General features: G+C 59.7%; 4 protein-coding genes across 23 annotated transcripts in view, besides 25 other annotated features; 2 read left to right on the forward strand and 2 right to left on the reverse strand.

Moving 5' to 3' along the window:
* PMF1-BGLAP (PMF1-BGLAP readthrough) overlaps positions 1–3,063 on the forward strand; it is a 30,345-nt gene extending 27,282 nt beyond the window's left edge. For all 4 annotated transcript variants that reach the window (NM_001199662.1, NM_001199661.1, NM_001199663.1 and 1 more), the window contains 3 exons: positions 2,284–2,322; positions 2,493–2,562; positions 2,764–3,063. In NM_001199662.1, the coding sequence (NP_001186591.1) occupies positions 2,284–2,322; positions 2,493–2,525 (72 nt within the window). In that variant the 3' untranslated portion in view covers positions 2,526–2,562; positions 2,764–3,063. The remainder of the gene's footprint in view (positions 1–2,283; positions 2,323–2,492; positions 2,563–2,763) is intronic.
* Positions 575–1,924: a promoter, noted in NCBI's record as "-1339 to +10 promoter; BamHI/PvuII fragment". NCBI's record gives its function as "vitamin D-responsive promoter that drives transcription of BGLAP" and the evidence as "EXISTENCE:reporter gene assay evidence [ECO:0000049][PMID:2786632]".
* Positions 575–1,997: a biological region, named in NCBI's record as "BGLAP promoter region". NCBI's record gives its function as "regulatory_interactions: BGLAP".
* Positions 771–1,290: an enhancer, noted in NCBI's record as "H3K4me1 hESC enhancer chr1:156210831-156211350 (GRCh37/hg19 assembly coordinates)". NCBI's record gives its function as "activates a minimal SCP1, AML or CMV promoter by ChIP-STARR-seq in primed H9 embryonic stem cells {active_cell/tissue: H9 hESC(primed)}" and the evidence as "EXISTENCE:reporter gene assay evidence [ECO:0000049][PMID:30033119]".
* Positions 1,279–1,308: a transcriptional cis regulatory region, noted in NCBI's record as "OSCARE-1; -634 to -605". NCBI's record gives its function as "contributes to basal BGLAP promoter activity" and the evidence as "EXISTENCE:reporter gene assay evidence [ECO:0000049][PMID:7598807]".
* Positions 1,291–1,808: an enhancer, noted in NCBI's record as "H3K4me1 hESC enhancer chr1:156211351-156211868 (GRCh37/hg19 assembly coordinates)". NCBI's record gives its function as "activates a minimal SCP1, AML or CMV promoter by ChIP-STARR-seq in naive H9 embryonic stem cells {active_cell/tissue: H9 hESC(naive)}" and the evidence as "EXISTENCE:reporter gene assay evidence [ECO:0000049][PMID:30033119]".
* Positions 1,347–1,507: an enhancer, noted in NCBI's record as "-568 to -407; BspEI/PvuII fragment". NCBI's record gives its function as "vitamin D-inducible enhancer" and the evidence as "EXISTENCE:reporter gene assay evidence [ECO:0000049][PMID:2786632]".
* Positions 1,376–1,410: a protein binding site, noted in NCBI's record as "TNFRE (tumor necrosis factor-responsive element)". NCBI's record gives its function as "mediates negative regulation by tumor necrosis factor" and the evidence as "EXISTENCE:protein binding evidence [ECO:0000024][PMID:8388544]".
* Positions 1,403–1,432: a protein binding site, noted in NCBI's record as "VDRE (vitamin D response element)". NCBI's record gives its function as "stimulates promoter activity; methylation-sensitive" and the evidence as "EXISTENCE:protein binding evidence [ECO:0000024][PMID:2174889]".
* Positions 1,404–1,422: a protein binding site, noted in NCBI's record as "AP-1/VDRE". NCBI's record gives the evidence for it as "EXISTENCE:protein binding evidence [ECO:0000024][PMID:11684680]".
* Positions 1,405–1,426: a protein binding site, noted in NCBI's record as "HRE (hormone response element)". NCBI's record gives its function as "positive regulation of promoter activity" and the evidence as "EXISTENCE:protein binding evidence [ECO:0000024][PMID:2159384]".
* Positions 1,405–1,426: a protein binding site, noted in NCBI's record as "HRE (hormone response element)". NCBI's record gives its function as "negative regulation of BGLAP promoter activity" and the evidence as "EXISTENCE:protein binding evidence [ECO:0000024][PMID:2159384]".
* Positions 1,406–1,426: a response element, noted in NCBI's record as "VDRE (vitamin D response element); -509 to -489; also corresponds to HRE". NCBI's record gives its function as "confers responsiveness to vitamin D, vitamin A, and AP-1 family factors when multimerized" and the evidence as "EXISTENCE:reporter gene assay evidence [ECO:0000049][PMID:2786632, PMID:2159384, PMID:2588000]".
* Positions 1,690–1,752: a protein binding site, noted in NCBI's record as "OSCARE-2; -226 to -163". NCBI's record gives the evidence for it as "EXISTENCE:protein binding evidence [ECO:0000024][PMID:8707885]".
* Positions 1,692–1,697: a protein binding site, noted in NCBI's record as "GATA site". NCBI's record gives the evidence for it as "EXISTENCE:protein binding evidence [ECO:0000024][PMID:19759027]".
* Positions 1,717–1,746: a transcriptional cis regulatory region, noted in NCBI's record as "ORE-1". NCBI's record gives its function as "contributes to repression of BGLAP promoter activity in NIH3T3 cells {active_cell/tissue: NIH3T3}" and the evidence as "EXISTENCE:reporter gene assay evidence [ECO:0000049][PMID:7593272]".
* Positions 1,722–1,924: a promoter, noted in NCBI's record as "-193 to +10; ApaI/PvuII fragment". NCBI's record gives its function as "drives transcription of BGLAP" and the evidence as "EXISTENCE:reporter gene assay evidence [ECO:0000049][PMID:2786632]".
* Positions 1,745–1,763: a protein binding site, noted in NCBI's record as "OSE2". NCBI's record gives its function as "positive regulation of BGLAP promoter activity" and the evidence as "EXISTENCE:protein binding evidence [ECO:0000024][PMID:11684680]".
* Positions 1,847–1,875: a protein binding site, noted in NCBI's record as "OSE1". NCBI's record gives its function as "positive regulation of BGLAP promoter activity" and the evidence as "EXISTENCE:protein binding evidence [ECO:0000024][PMID:11684680]".
* Positions 1,876–1,908: a protein binding site, noted in NCBI's record as "GRE; -41 to -9". NCBI's record gives the evidence for it as "EXISTENCE:protein binding evidence [ECO:0000024][PMID:9303434]".
* Positions 1,882–1,903: a protein binding site, noted in NCBI's record as "GR binding site". NCBI's record gives its function as "negative regulation of BGLAP promoter activity; competes for binding with TATA-box binding protein" and the evidence as "EXISTENCE:protein binding evidence [ECO:0000024][PMID:2038339]".
* Positions 1,887–1,892: a TATA box. NCBI's record gives the evidence for it as "COORDINATES:motif similarity evidence [ECO:0000028][PMID:2588000]".
* BGLAP (bone gamma-carboxyglutamate protein) lies at positions 1,915–3,048 on the forward strand. The gene is made up of 4 exons (NM_199173.6): positions 1,915–2,026; positions 2,284–2,322; positions 2,493–2,562; positions 2,764–3,048. Exons 1-4 carry the CDS (start codon positions 1,963–1,965, stop codon positions 2,891–2,893), a joined length of 303 nt encoding a protein of 100 aa, NP_954642.1. The 5' UTR covers positions 1,915–1,962; the 3' UTR covers positions 2,894–3,048.
* Positions 1,991–1,997: a transcriptional cis regulatory region, noted in NCBI's record as "OSE (osteocalcin silencer element); +29 to +35". NCBI's record gives its function as "negative regulation of BGLAP transcription" and the evidence as "EXISTENCE:site-directed mutagenesis evidence [ECO:0005528][PMID:8559666]".
* Positions 3,051–7,787, reverse strand: PAQR6 (progestin and adipoQ receptor family member 6). Of its 13 annotated transcripts, NM_001272105.2 has the most exons (9): positions 7,688–7,787; positions 7,241–7,363; positions 6,421–6,487; positions 5,854–5,981; positions 5,513–5,718; positions 5,266–5,392; positions 4,873–4,969; positions 4,492–4,642; positions 3,051–4,134 (listed from the first exon to the last, which is right to left on the reverse strand). In NM_001272105.2, the coding sequence occupies exons 3-9, from the start codon at positions 6,460–6,462 to the stop codon at positions 3,860–3,862; spliced, it is 1,026 nt and encodes a 341-aa protein (NP_001259034.1). In that variant the 5' UTR covers positions 6,463–6,487; positions 7,241–7,363; positions 7,688–7,787; the 3' UTR covers positions 3,051–3,859. The 13 variants fall into 13 exon arrangements, 12 of the variants coding, with proteins under 12 accessions (NP_001259034.1, NP_940798.1, NP_001259033.1 ...); NM_198406.3 differs by lacking the exon at positions 7,241–7,363 and having other exon boundaries at positions 6,412–6,487; NM_001272104.2 differs by lacking the exon at positions 7,241–7,363 and having other exon boundaries at positions 6,412–6,487; positions 7,646–7,787.
* Positions 5,327–5,516: a silencer, noted in NCBI's record as "silent region_1423". NCBI's record gives its function as "represses an Ori minimal core promoter by ATAC-STARR-seq in GM12878 lymphoblastoid cells {active_cell/tissue: GM12878}" and the evidence as "EXISTENCE:reporter gene assay evidence [ECO:0000049][PMID:35858748]".
* Positions 5,687–5,846: a silencer, noted in NCBI's record as "silent region_1424". NCBI's record gives its function as "represses an Ori minimal core promoter by ATAC-STARR-seq in GM12878 lymphoblastoid cells {active_cell/tissue: GM12878}" and the evidence as "EXISTENCE:reporter gene assay evidence [ECO:0000049][PMID:35858748]".
* Positions 7,649–7,943: a silencer, noted in NCBI's record as "tiled region #3040; K562 Repressive non-DNase unmatched - State 14:Gen5'". NCBI's record gives its function as "represses a minimal TATA promoter and a strong SV40 promoter by Sharpr-MPRA in K562 cells {active_cell/tissue: K562}" and the evidence as "EXISTENCE:reporter gene assay evidence [ECO:0000049][PMID:27701403]".
* SMG5 (SMG5 nonsense mediated mRNA decay factor) overlaps positions 8,955–12,318 on the reverse strand; it is a 42,293-nt gene continuing 38,929 nt past the window's right edge. For all 5 annotated transcript variants that reach the window (NM_001323617.2, NM_001323615.2, NM_001323614.2 and 2 more), the window contains 4 exons: positions 12,145–12,235; positions 11,134–11,208; positions 10,589–10,727; positions 8,955–10,401 (listed from right to left, as the gene is read on the reverse strand). In NM_001323617.2, the coding sequence (NP_001310546.1) occupies positions 10,318–10,401; positions 10,589–10,727; positions 11,134–11,208; positions 12,145–12,235 (389 nt within the window). In that variant the 3' untranslated portion in view covers positions 8,955–10,317. The remainder of the gene's footprint in view (positions 10,402–10,588; positions 10,728–11,133; positions 11,209–12,144; positions 12,236–12,318) is intronic.

The following is a 12,318-nucleotide window of genomic DNA, read 5'->3' on the forward strand; positions in this document are numbered from 1 at the left end:
GATGTCACTCTTGGCACCCTCCAAGAATCATTACGGCCGGGTGCAGTGGCTCATGCTTGAAATCCCAGCACTTTGGGAGGCCGAGGCGGGTGAATCACCTGAGGTCAGGAGTTCGAGACCAGCCTGGCCAACATGGTGAAATCCTGTCTCTACTAAAAATACAAAATTAGCCAGGCATGGTGGCATGTGCCTGTAATCCCAGCTACTCGGGAGGCTGAGGCAGGAGAATCACTTGAACCCGGGAGGCGGAGGTTGCAGTCAGCCAAGATTGCGCCACTGTACTCCAGCCTGGGCAACAAGAGTGAAACTCCATCTCAAAAAAAAATACAGAATTAGCCAGGCATGGTGGCGTGTGCCTGTAGTCCCAGCTACTCAAGAGGCTGAGGCAGGAGAATCACTTGAACCTGGGAGGCAGAGGTTGCAGTGAGCCGAGATCGCACCATTGCACTCCTGCCTGGGCGACAGAGCGAGACTCCGTCTCAAAAAAAAAGAACCGCGAGCACTTTGTTTCTCTTGCTTCTTCCACTTCACTCTTCTTCAGCCAGGGCAGCCAAAGGCAGGATGGGTGCTTCCCGGATCCACCAGAGGGGGAAAGGGGTTGGGCGTGTATGGGGGCAGAACTTTTCCCTAGTGAGAGCCTTGGTGAGGTCTGCTGGAGGCACACTGGGGACACAGGCAAGCATCAGGTGGTCCCAACTTCCCACCCCCCTCCCATAAACGGCACTTGGCTCAGTCTCCCTCTGCCCACCTTGTCACCATGGAGCTGTGGCATTCAAGCATCCAAATGCCCTGCTTCTGTCAGGCCTGCCCCGTCGGGTGCTTTGTTTACTTGTCAGGTTGGGCAGATGGTCTCAAGCCCTGGTTGGTGGGTGGGTGAGTGAGGAGACAGGTTAGACAGGGGAAGGTCCCAGGACATGTCTTCCCTCTCTGGGCTGACCTGAGGCAGTGGAGGCTCTCAGGTGTGGGATGGGGTTTTCAGGCTGGGATGTTCTGTACCGTAGAGGATAGGCCTTCCTATTACTTATCGGAGCACTACGGGAGGGCAGGTCCCTCCCCAGGGTGTTTAACACTGGAGGCTGCAGGGTCAGGAGGAGAATCGTGGGGCCAGGAGGGCAGAGGCACACTCCATCTTCGTGCTCCTCACAGGCCCTGCCTCCCTGCCTGCTAAGGACACAGGGAAGGGGGTCCCCACCTCAGTGCCTGCCTCCCTTCCCTGTGCCTGTGTACCTGGCAGTCACAGCCACCTGGCGTGTCCCAGAAACCAACCGGCTGACCTCATCTCCTGCCCGGCCCCACCTCCATTGGCTTTGGCTTTTGGCGTTTGTGCTGCCCGACCCTTTCTCCTGTCCGGATGCGCAGGGCAGGGCCTGAGCCGTCGAGCTGCACCCACAGCAGGCTGCCTTTGGTGACTCACCGGGTGAACGGGGGCATTGCGAGGCATCCCCTCCCTGGGTTTGGCTCCTGCCCACGGGGCTGACAGTAGAAATCACAGGCTGTGAGACAGCTGGAGCCCAGCTCTGCTTGAACCTATTTTAGGTCTCTGATCCCCGCTTCCTCTTTAGACTCCCCTAGAGCTCAGCCAGTGCTCAACCTGAGGCTGGGGGTCTCTGAGGAAGAGTGAGTTGGAGCTGAGGGGTCTGGGGCTGTCCCCTGAGAGAGGGGCCAGAGGCAGTGTCAAGAGCCGGGCAGTCTGATTGTGGCTCACCCTCCATCACTCCCAGGGGCCCCTGGCCCAGCAGCCGCAGCTCCCAACCACAATATCCTTTGGGGTTTGGCCTACGGAGCTGGGGCGGATGACCCCCAAATAGCCCTGGCAGATTCCCCCTAGACCCGCCCGCACCATGGTCAGGCATGCCCCTCCTCATCGCTGGGCACAGCCCAGAGGGTATAAACAGTGCTGGAGGCTGGCGGGGCAGGCCAGCTGAGTCCTGAGCAGCAGCCCAGCGCAGCCACCGAGACACCATGAGAGCCCTCACACTCCTCGCCCTATTGGCCCTGGCCGCACTTTGCATCGCTGGCCAGGCAGGTGAGTGCCCCCACCTCCCCTCAGGCCGCATTGCAGTGGGGGCTGAGAGGAGGAAGCACCATGGCCCACCTCTTCTCACCCCTTTGGCTGGCAGTCCCTTTGCAGTCTAACCACCTTGTTGCAGGCTCAATCCATTTGCCCCAGCTCTGCCCTTGCAGAGGGAGAGGAGGGAAGAGCAAGCTGCCCGAGACGCAGGGGAAGGAGGATGAGGGCCCTGGGGATGAGCTGGGGTGAACCAGGCTCCCTTTCCTTTGCAGGTGCGAAGCCCAGCGGTGCAGAGTCCAGCAAAGGTGCAGGTATGAGGATGGACCTGATGGGTTCCTGGACCCTCCCCTCTCACCCTGGTCCCTCAGTCTCATTCCCCCACTCCTGCCACCTCCTGTCTGGCCATCAGGAAGGCCAGCCTGCTCCCCACCTGATCCTCCCAAACCCAGAGCCACCTGATGCCTGCCCCTCTGCTCCACAGCCTTTGTGTCCAAGCAGGAGGGCAGCGAGGTAGTGAAGAGACCCAGGCGCTACCTGTATCAATGGCTGGGGTGAGAGAAAAGGCAGAGCTGGGCCAAGGCCCTGCCTCTCCGGGATGGTCTGTGGGGGAGCTGCAGCAGGGAGTGGCCTCTCTGGGTTGTGGTGGGGGTACAGGCAGCCTGCCCTGGTGGGCACCCTGGAGCCCCATGTGTAGGGAGAGGAGGGATGGGCATTTTGCACGGGGGCTGATGCCACCACGTCGGGTGTCTCAGAGCCCCAGTCCCCTACCCGGATCCCCTGGAGCCCAGGAGGGAGGTGTGTGAGCTCAATCCGGACTGTGACGAGTTGGCTGACCACATCGGCTTTCAGGAGGCCTATCGGCGCTTCTACGGCCCGGTCTAGGGTGTCGCTCTGCTGGCCTGGCCGGCAACCCCAGTTCTGCTCCTCTCCAGGCACCCTTCTTTCCTCTTCCCCTTGCCCTTGCCCTGACCTCCCAGCCCTATGGATGTGGGGTCCCCATCATCCCAGCTGCTCCCAAATAAACTCCAGAAGAGGAATCTGTGGGCCTGTGAGTCTGTCCAGTTTATGGAGTGTGGGAGGGAGGTGTCAGGAGGATGGGGGTGAGGAGGTTTTACCTTCTTCAGTTCTAGAAAGTGCTTTCCAAAGTTTTATTTTTTTATTTGTACCTGCCTTGTTCCAGAAAACGTTGAAGGTGGCTTCCCAAAGTCTAACTAGGGATACCCCCTCTAGCCTAGGACCCTCCTCCCCACACCTCAATCCACCAAACCATCCATAATGCACCCAGATAGGCCCACCCCCAAAAGCCTGGACACCTTGAGCACACAGTTATGACCAGGACAGACTCATCTCTATAGGCAAATAGCTGCTGGCAAACTGGCATTACCTGGTTTGTGGGGATGGGGGGGCAAGTGTGTGGCCTCTCGGCCTGGTTAGCAAGAAGCATTCAGGGTAGGCCTAGGTTAGTCGTGTTAGTTCTTCCCTGTGCTGAGCAGAGACTTCCAGAAGCACCAGAAACGGAGCCAGATGAAAGGACCCCAACACCTCCCCCCGCCAACCTTTGACAGAATATAGGGGCATCTTCAGCCTGGACACGCATGCATCTCCCCTCTCAGACCCTCAGCACTTCTTCCACTCCCATCAAGAGCCCCCTCACGGTCCCTCTCACACTCTGCCAGTCCCCCTAGACACCCCTCCTCTTCTCTGCCCTCTCTCCTGTGCCCTCTCTCCTCAGCCCCTGTTGGTTCCAGGCTGAGATGCGTCCCCACCTGATTAGGCCCAAATCTGGGCTCCTCGTCAGCACTGGGGCCTGGCCTCTGCCCCCTCCAGGACAGGGTCAGGGATGGGGCCTCACTGTTGTTTGGCCTGGGTACCCCCCTCCAGTGGGCCACCCTGCAGCAGAGGGCATGTACTGGGGGCCCGAAGCAGGGTGGCTGTGAAAGCAGCAATAATGAGTAGGTTCCCAGCTGCAGCCAAGACCAGTGTGGCCACTGTGCCTGCCAGGCCCAGGGCAGGTTCCTGTGTGGCCAGCCAGGCTCTGCGTGATCCCATATCAGCCAGCACTGCCTCCAGCTGGAAGTGGGTGCCCAGCACTGCACAGATGTGGAATAACTGGTGGCTGTGGCCTGTGGAGAGGATGGGCAGGTCAGAGCCACACCTTTCCCAGTGCAAGTCACCCCATCCTCTGGGCCTGCTACTCCCCCATAAATTGAGAATAAGAAACCCTGACTCCCAGAGTGACTGAAAGGAATGAATGAGCATGTGTGCATGTGGCCCCAGCACACATGCTACTAGTTTTGCTACCTGAGAAGTGGCAGGTGGAGGACCCTTCCAGTGATGCTCTCGTTATAGGAAGACAGGGAAGTCCCTCCTATAATTTGCCTCCATCCTGGGGCTGTAATACCCATTTACCCAGTTCATTCTGTGCTCTGGGAAGGCATCTGCCCCTGCCTCTTCCCGGGCCGGGCCAGGCGTGCCCTCACCGATGTAATCAAAGCGTCCTGGTGCCAGCCTTTCAGGCAGGTGGGAGGCGAAGAGGAAGCCAGTGAGCAGCGCGCAGAAGAGATGGTAGCCATGGCTGGTGCTCAGGGCCTCCTGCCCACAGCCGTGGCCCCTGCCCCAGCACAGCCCGAGCTGTCAAAGGAAAACCAAGGCTGCTGGGGAGGGACTCGGGAGCCGAAACATGGGGTGTGTCTGGGATCTGGTGAGGACGCAGAGCGGGCGGGCACAGCTAGGCGGGGTGCTGGACCCCAAGAGAGGCGGCTGGGCTGAGGCAGGGACTGAGGGGGCAGGGCTGGAAGTGGGCACCTTGAGGGTCAGGACAGGAAAGCAGGAGTCTGGGCAGGGGCCCTAGGCCTCCTTACCCGATAAAAGAGTGGGAGGTTGTCGAACAGGAATGGATAGGCGAAGGCTCCTGTGCGGAGGACCTTACTGAGCCCAGGGCTTTCCAGCTCCAGGAAACTGGGAGGCGGGAGGAAAAGGCCGGTCACCATCGCTGTGCTTGGGGTAGGGGTCAGAGAAAGGCAAGAGGACTTGGGCAAAGATGGAATATCAGCACAGCCTGCAGCTAAGAAAACCGTTAGGGCATATGACCTCCTGTGTAAAGGACCACATCTGTATGTGGGGATAAAGGGTCTGACAGAGGAAGTCCTCAGTACATGGTCCCGATGCCTCCAGTGCTGTTCGAGAGCAGTGAGGTGTGTCCTCTCCTGTGCCTCCGCCTTCCCCGTCCCCACTGGAGGGGCCTGGGAACCCACCGGGAGTAGCAGGAGAGGCCGGTGCACAGGAAGGAGTTGAGTGCGGCGGCAGGCACAAAGAACTGGTGCAGGTGGCCGTGCAGCCAGGAGGCCGGCATGGAGTAGGCGGCATAGGGGAAGGCGCAGCCTGCGGTGAGGTGGGGGCGTGCAGCTGAGGCCTGAGGGGCGCGCCCCTATGTCCCGCGTCCCACCCCTCGCCCCGCTCCGGGACGCCCAGACCCCGCGCTCCCGCGCCTGTCCGGCTCACCCAGACTGTAGAGGCTGAGCGCGCCGTAGTCGAGGAAGTAGCAGATGTGGCGCATGCGGGGCGACATGGAGCTGAAGGTGTGCGCGCAGCACGACGCGAAGGGGTAGAGGCAGGCGGGCAGCAGGAAGACCAGCAGCGGCCAGTGGTACGGCTCCGCACGGAAGCCGGGGCCGCCCGCCAGCGCCAGGAGCCGCCACAGGAAGTACCTGCGGCGGGCGCGTGCTCAGGCCGCCGCGGACCCCCGCGACTGCCGCTGCAGCCCGTGGGCCTGGACGGTCCCTGCCCGCCTGGGTACCCCCTCTGAGCTCAAGGCCGCGGCCTGGGGCGGAGCCTCCCCTCACCAGGTGGGCAGGAAGTGAGTCCAGATGTTGACCGTCTCGTTGGTCATCTGGAAGGAGCTGAGGACACAGTCCAAAGCCGAGCTGGTGGGGCGGCGGTAGCCAGACATGATGCCATCTTCCCAGAACACCTAGGGTAGTGGTGGGAGAGGAAGGGCGTCACTGTGCCCGGACCCTTTCCCTCCATCTGAGATCTCTGGAAGCAGGGTCAAAGAGGCTGGGCTGGAGATCAACGTGGCCCCCAAGCCAAACTAAATCTGATCTGATGTTACCACAGGTCCCAGTACCCACAACCCACAAAACAAATAGGAAACCGAAGAGCCAGATTGGGGTGGGATGGGGGTGGAGCGCAGCACACAGGGCGCTCTGGGGAAGGGGACTCCAGATGGAGGGCCACAAGCTTGTTCCTCAGAGAACAGAGGAAGAGTCTCACACTGGAATGGGAGGGTAAGAGTTCGCCTGCAGGAGGGGCTGCCCCAATAGCTAAAAGAGAAGAACGTCAGCCCCTAGTCAGTCCTCTAGGGAATGGGGGTTGGTGGGTCAGTGGGTGGAGCCCCTCACCCGGGGGACCTGGTGGACTTGAAGAAGTTGGGGCAGCTTGAGACTGAGCATGGTGGCCTGGTACCTCCACGTTGACCTAGAGACAGAGTGGGAGGTAGGGGATCAGATAACTGCCCCCATCCACAGGCCCCTTTCACCTGGGTTCAGCCGCAGGATGGGCTGTGCGTGTGGGAGGCAGATGGCACCCTCCCTCCTGGAGCTGCTTCCTTCAGGCCTGGGGAAGCTGGTCCACCTTCCCCAGCCCTTGCACCACTTAACTCCAACCCCTGTTCTCCTTGGGGCATTCAGTCCCCACACTGAGGGGCTTGGCGGCCTCAGCCCAGCAAAGAGTGGCGGGGTCCTCCCAGCCGGGAGGCTGCCTCAAATAGTGATCCAGCCCCGCAGGCCCCAGTTTTTGTCTCAGGAAGAATCCTGACTCCTGGAGGCCAGCACAGAGACAGCCTGAGTACCACTCCCTTTCCCACCAGAATGTGCTTCGCCCACAGCGCCTGAACTGAGCACAGAACACTCTTGGCACTCCGAATCTCTGGAGAAGCCAGATGCCATCAGGTGGGACAAGGAGGTAGGGGGATGCCTGGCTTTTCTCTGAGGACTACACTTGTGCCCCCAGGAGAATTTTGGGGTCCCTGCCCCTCCTGAGCCCAGGTATCCCTCAGCCCCAGACCTGTGCACTGCCTCCGGGTGGCCGCAGCTCTGCTGCCCCGCCCGCCTCTCCCGGCACATTCCTTGGCACAAGTGGAGGGGCTGGGCCAGCTGGGCAGGCGGAGCCGCCCCAGGAGGAGGACTAGGACACTCCCCCCACCTCCCCAGGCCAAAACTTTGCAGCAACTCTATAACTTAGCCCCTCTTCTTGCCACCAGCTCTGCATCCATGTTTTTGCCGCATGCACTTTGGGGCTTGCACCAGCAGTCACTCCCCCAGCCTCTGCCCGAGATGGGTGCTGGAGACCCTGCTGGGCAAAGGCAAACCTGGCCCTAGTCCCTGCACCCCAGCAGAACAAAGATGGATGAGGGCCTCCCAGGGTATCCCTTGCTCGCTCCCACAAGTGGGATGGTCGGGGGTCTCCCCTACCCTGAGTGCTGCCCATCTATCTGGGGGAGGAGTGAGGAATACGCTGGGGTCTAGCTGCCCTCACGGTGCCTTCCCTTAGTAGTAGGGTTTGGAGATCTCTGGAGTGGAGTGTGTGCAGTTGCTATGGAAATGGGGGAGGGGTGGCTGGAGCAAGATGCTTTACCTCTATTTTCCCAGAAGAGCCCCAGAAGGTGAGCTTCCTTACCCAGAGCTTGGTGGGTGCTCCTAAGCTGGTGGGTCAACAGGCCCAGGGCTCCACGGGCGGAGTCCAAGGCTGCTGCCAGCCAGGCTGATGGAGGAAGAGTGGCCAGGCAGGCGGGCCAGGCCTGGGCGGGGAGTGGGGAGACAAAGGGGAGCCAGGGAACAATCCCAGCCTTGTCCAGCCTCCAGGGAGCAGCACGGGGTGGCCCAGCCCCATTAGCAGGCAGCTCACTCGGCCGCCTGCACACAGCCAGCTCCTCCAGCACGACCCAAACTCCCTGTGCTGACTGGCTAGAACAGGGTAGGGGCCCAAGGCAGGATGTGGCCATGGTGCTGTAGAGTCCCCCCGGCGACTCAGAGCAGTGTTCCCGTTCCAGGTTCTCCCAGCAGTTGGGGACAGCTCTGCCTTAGGCTGGCAGAGGAACCCAAATCCCCAAATGCAGAACAGATTTCAGAAGCCATCTCTCACCATGCTTTGCTGCCTCTTAGCACCTGGTGCTGCCTAGGGCTCAGAGCAAACTGCCTTTGGTAAATGTTGGTTCTATCATGGGGGATTCACCAGGCTCACCACCTCCCCCTCCCCCCCCCCCCCCCCCCGAATACAATTTGAGATGCCAATCCTTGCAGGACAGGCACTTGAGGACTCAGAGGCTGGTTTTTTTTTTTTTTTTTTTAAGGTGGAGTCTCGCTCTGTCACCCAAGCTGGAGTGCAGTGGCGCGATATTGGCTCACTGCAAGCTTCGCCTCCCGGGTTCACGCCATTCTCCTGCCTCAGCCTCCCGAGTAGCTGGGACTACAGGCACCCGCCACCATGCCCAGCTAATTTTTTTTTGTATTTTTAGTAGAGATGGGGTTTCACCGTGTTAGCCAGGATGGTCTCGATCTGACCTTGTGATCCACCCGCCTCAGCCTCCCAGTGCTGGGATTACAGGCGTGAGCCACTACGCCTGGCCAGAGGCTGGTTTCAAGGCTCACCTCCCCACCCCCTTGGGGAAGAGGACCCAGCTAGTGACAGCGAACCAACCCCAGGCAGCGATGTTGCTGGCAAGAGATTTTCACTATCACCCCTGCAAAGGCACCGCCTCAGTTTACAGTCAAGGAACTTGACAGTGCCTATCAAACCATCTCCAGGGCCTTCACTCAAATTGCCTGCTTCTTGTTCTGTTCCATCCACTTCAAAGAAGCCTTTCCAAAATGCATTTCAGGATGCCATCTTCAGTGCCCCACCCCCCAATGAAACTTCTGTACAGACAGGCACCAGGAGACAGGGATTGGGCTTGGGGGGTTTATTAAGTGATGCTTTAGTCTCAGTCTCTGCCAGCAACTGGGAGTGGGGTGACTCCACTCACCCCAGGATTTCCCAGACTTGCTATTTTAGAGGAGAGAGGCAGGAAGCCAACTATCCTCTAAGCCACAGCTTGGGAAGCTAGGCTAGTACTGGGGTGGGGGCAGCAGAGCTGAGACCCTCCACCCCGAGCCCCTAGCCTGTGCTATCCTCCCAGCCTGAGGGGGAGGAGCTGAGGCAATCCTGGCTGCAGCCTCCCACACACAGCCCTGCTCTTGGTGCGCCATTCACTGCCCTGAGCTATTCATGATCTCTGCTCCCAGATATTCACCTCAACACTCCAAAAGCCAGCCCCTTCAGGTCTTCAGTCCTGCGGAAGGCAAAAGGAGGGACGGGGGCCTCTGACTGAGCAGCTTCAAGGAGCCTCTCCTTTCTGCTGCCCACTGAATGCCGGCCCCTTGTCTTCAGCCCTCCCTTAGATAGGAAGGGGGGTGGTGGCCTCAGACTGCACCCCCTTTCTTCTCTTCCTGGCATCCCATTCTGTCCCAGCACAGCAGCCAAGAGCACAAAGCACAGCACCTGTGGGGCTGGTGGGCACAGGAGACCGTGCTGGCACAGGCCAGACTGCCTGCAGCCCTAGGTGGGGCCTGCTCCCTGCCCTGGAAGCTAGACAGAGGGAGACACAAAGCAGAAGTGGGGCAATGGGATGTGCAGCCCCTGCAGCAGGAGGAGGAGCACACGAACCCTGACCCTGCTACTCGGTGCAGGCCACTCCAGGCCTTGCTTCTCTAACAGCCCCTGTGGCTGGCTCCAGAGCTGCCTGGTCCCCATAAAGGGGGCTGAAAGGAGGATGGGTGATCCTTGAGGAGGGGAAGGGTCTGCAGAGAATCACTCAGACACCAGGTATTACCCAGCTCTTCCCCCAAGACCTAGAGGGTCCAAACTCCTGGCCCCAACCACCCTGCATCTTGGGTGAGGAAGAAGGGCCTCTTTTGCTGTTCCTTCCCCTCAGAGATCCAAGAACCCATTCCAGTGAAATGCAGGTACCCATGCCTACCACCTGCCCCTGGAGACAGCAGGGGAGCTGAGGCAGGAAGGCTGGCCAGGGGCCCACAAGACTCTCCTAATCCAAGCACTTTCCTCGCTTTCCTAACGTCTTGGCAACAAAGGGACCCCACCCTCCCAGCCGGCTCCTGGGCCCTCCCTGCAGCCTCTGAGCAGCTAGGCCTCCCTCCTGTGTGCGTGCATGAGTCTGCGTGTGGTGGGGTGACTACAGGTGCTGGTCCTGGCTGCCAGGGAGGGCAGGAGAGATCTGGAGTCAGCCCCACTGCAGGGCCTGGGGGTCAGTATCAACCAATTTCCTTCCACTGCTTGTAGAAGTCCAGAACATTCTTGATGTCCACACTGGCGTGGGCAGCGGCCTGCAGGGCTGCCTGTGGAATGGGAGAAGGAAAGATGGAGAGGGTCTGACCTCCTGAACTGAAGAGCAAATTGTTGAGGCGCTGGGGAAGGAGTGATGGAAGAGAAAAAAAGGTAGCTATGTGGAGGGTCTGGGGATGGAGTCTGCTCTGGTACCTCGTCCCTATTCCACACCATCCCCCCACCTCACCCATGACCCACCTGCATGGGGCCTGAAAGCACGCTGGGGTTGTCCAGTGGAAGGCCTGTGATGATGGTCACCATGCCACTCGGATCCTCCTCACCTGCCCCCTGGGCCAGAGTCAGCTGTTTGCAGCTGTCTAGGATCTTATAGAGAGTCCTGGGGATGGGGGGCAGAGGGGAAGATGGGCCAAGACCCAGCATTAGCACAGCCCAAACACCAGGATCTCCAGGGGACAGGGGCAGCTGGGGGCTGGGAGGGCAGTGAGCAGCAGTGGGCCCTGGAAGCTGGCCCTGGAGACATATGGGGAGCAGGCAAAGGTGCATTGAGGGAAAACACCAAGCCTGAGCATCGCAAGGCCCAAAGAGGCTGACCCATCTGCAGAGGAAAAGCTCAGGTGCTGCGGCAACTTCGTACTCCTCGCAAGGTGAGGCCTGCAGGAGGGCCCTGGCAGGCTACGTGTGGAGCCTCAGAATTATCCAGCCCTACCCGTTCTCCCTAGGAATGCTCGTGGAGGAGCAAGGCAGGTGGCCTGAGGTTCTAGGGGTGAGGGCTAAAATGTTACCAGGCATCTGCATCCTGCCTCTTCAGCTTATGCCGCTCAAAGCTCTTTCCCACCTCTTTCTGGCAGCGAATGTACCTGCAGAGGAGATGTGCGAGTGGAGGTCAGGAGCAGGAGACTGGCAGGGTGCCTTACACAAAGCAGTCTGTTGTGGCTCTGGGGGCCTGGTTTTGCAGGCGGGGCTGGGGAACATGTCTCTCCCACCACAGCTCTGGAGCCATTCTTAAGTGGCTTCCTGGCTGCTGGGCCCAGCTCACTTTTCCTCCTGATAACATCAATTATTTGGTTCCTCTCAGGGGAGGAGCTGGGAGGGGAGAAGCAGCAGATGCTTTTCAAGTCAGGGCTTCTGGAGACAAGGTCCGAACAATCAGACCTTGTGCAGCTTCCTGGCCAGCCAGAGCAGATGCAGAGGAGGGGGTGGGCCAGCTAGCAGGGAGAGGGAAGCTTTCTCCTTATTCCCTACACCCTCTGCCTAGTTCTCCTCCAGCCCCAAAGGCCAGAAGGGCAGGCCTGTACCGGCTGAGCATCTGCACATGCTGCCAGCTGCCCCTCCCTGGCTGGCTTCGGTCTTACCACTCCCTCAGCTCAGCAGGGAGGTGGGAAGCCCCTGGGCAGCCTGGATGAGGCCCTCACACTCTGAGAAACCTGATCACCTGTCCCAACCCCAAAGCAGGAGAAATTCCTATAAAGGAGTTCACAGTCTAAAGTTGGGGGAGGGAGGTCTGCTCCCTTCTCCCCAGTGGGTGCTGATCACAGGCTTGCCCCAGAGGAAGGACAGCAGCTCAGTGCTCCCCACAGGGCTCCTGATCCCTTTGGTCACCCTCTATTTCAGCAGCTACAACCTTGACTTCTAATTATCTCTGGTATCACTCCCCAGGCAGTGAGGTGAGCTAACTGTGAGTAGAGACGGGTATGTATGTGTCTTACCCATAGGGAGCAAGGGGCTTTCATAAGCATGTGTTATCCAAAAGACAGACCCAGGGCTCAGCACAGGTCCAGCCAGGCCACACTCACCTGTTTCCTTTTTTAAACTCTGCCTCCAGGTACCGAATCCCATCCCGGGCCCCTGGGTGTTCCTTCTTCAGCAAATCCAGGCCATCGATCACTGGTGGGCAAGGTAGGGAAAGACAAAACAGATAAGCTCAGACTGCTGTGACAAGGGGCTCTGGAGGAAGTATCTGAGCTCAC

Source organism: Homo sapiens, chromosome 1, assembly GCF_000001405.40.
Source record: "Homo sapiens chromosome 1, GRCh38.p14 Primary Assembly".
NCBI classification, from domain to species: Eukaryota; Metazoa; Chordata; class Mammalia; order Primates; family Hominidae; genus Homo; species Homo sapiens.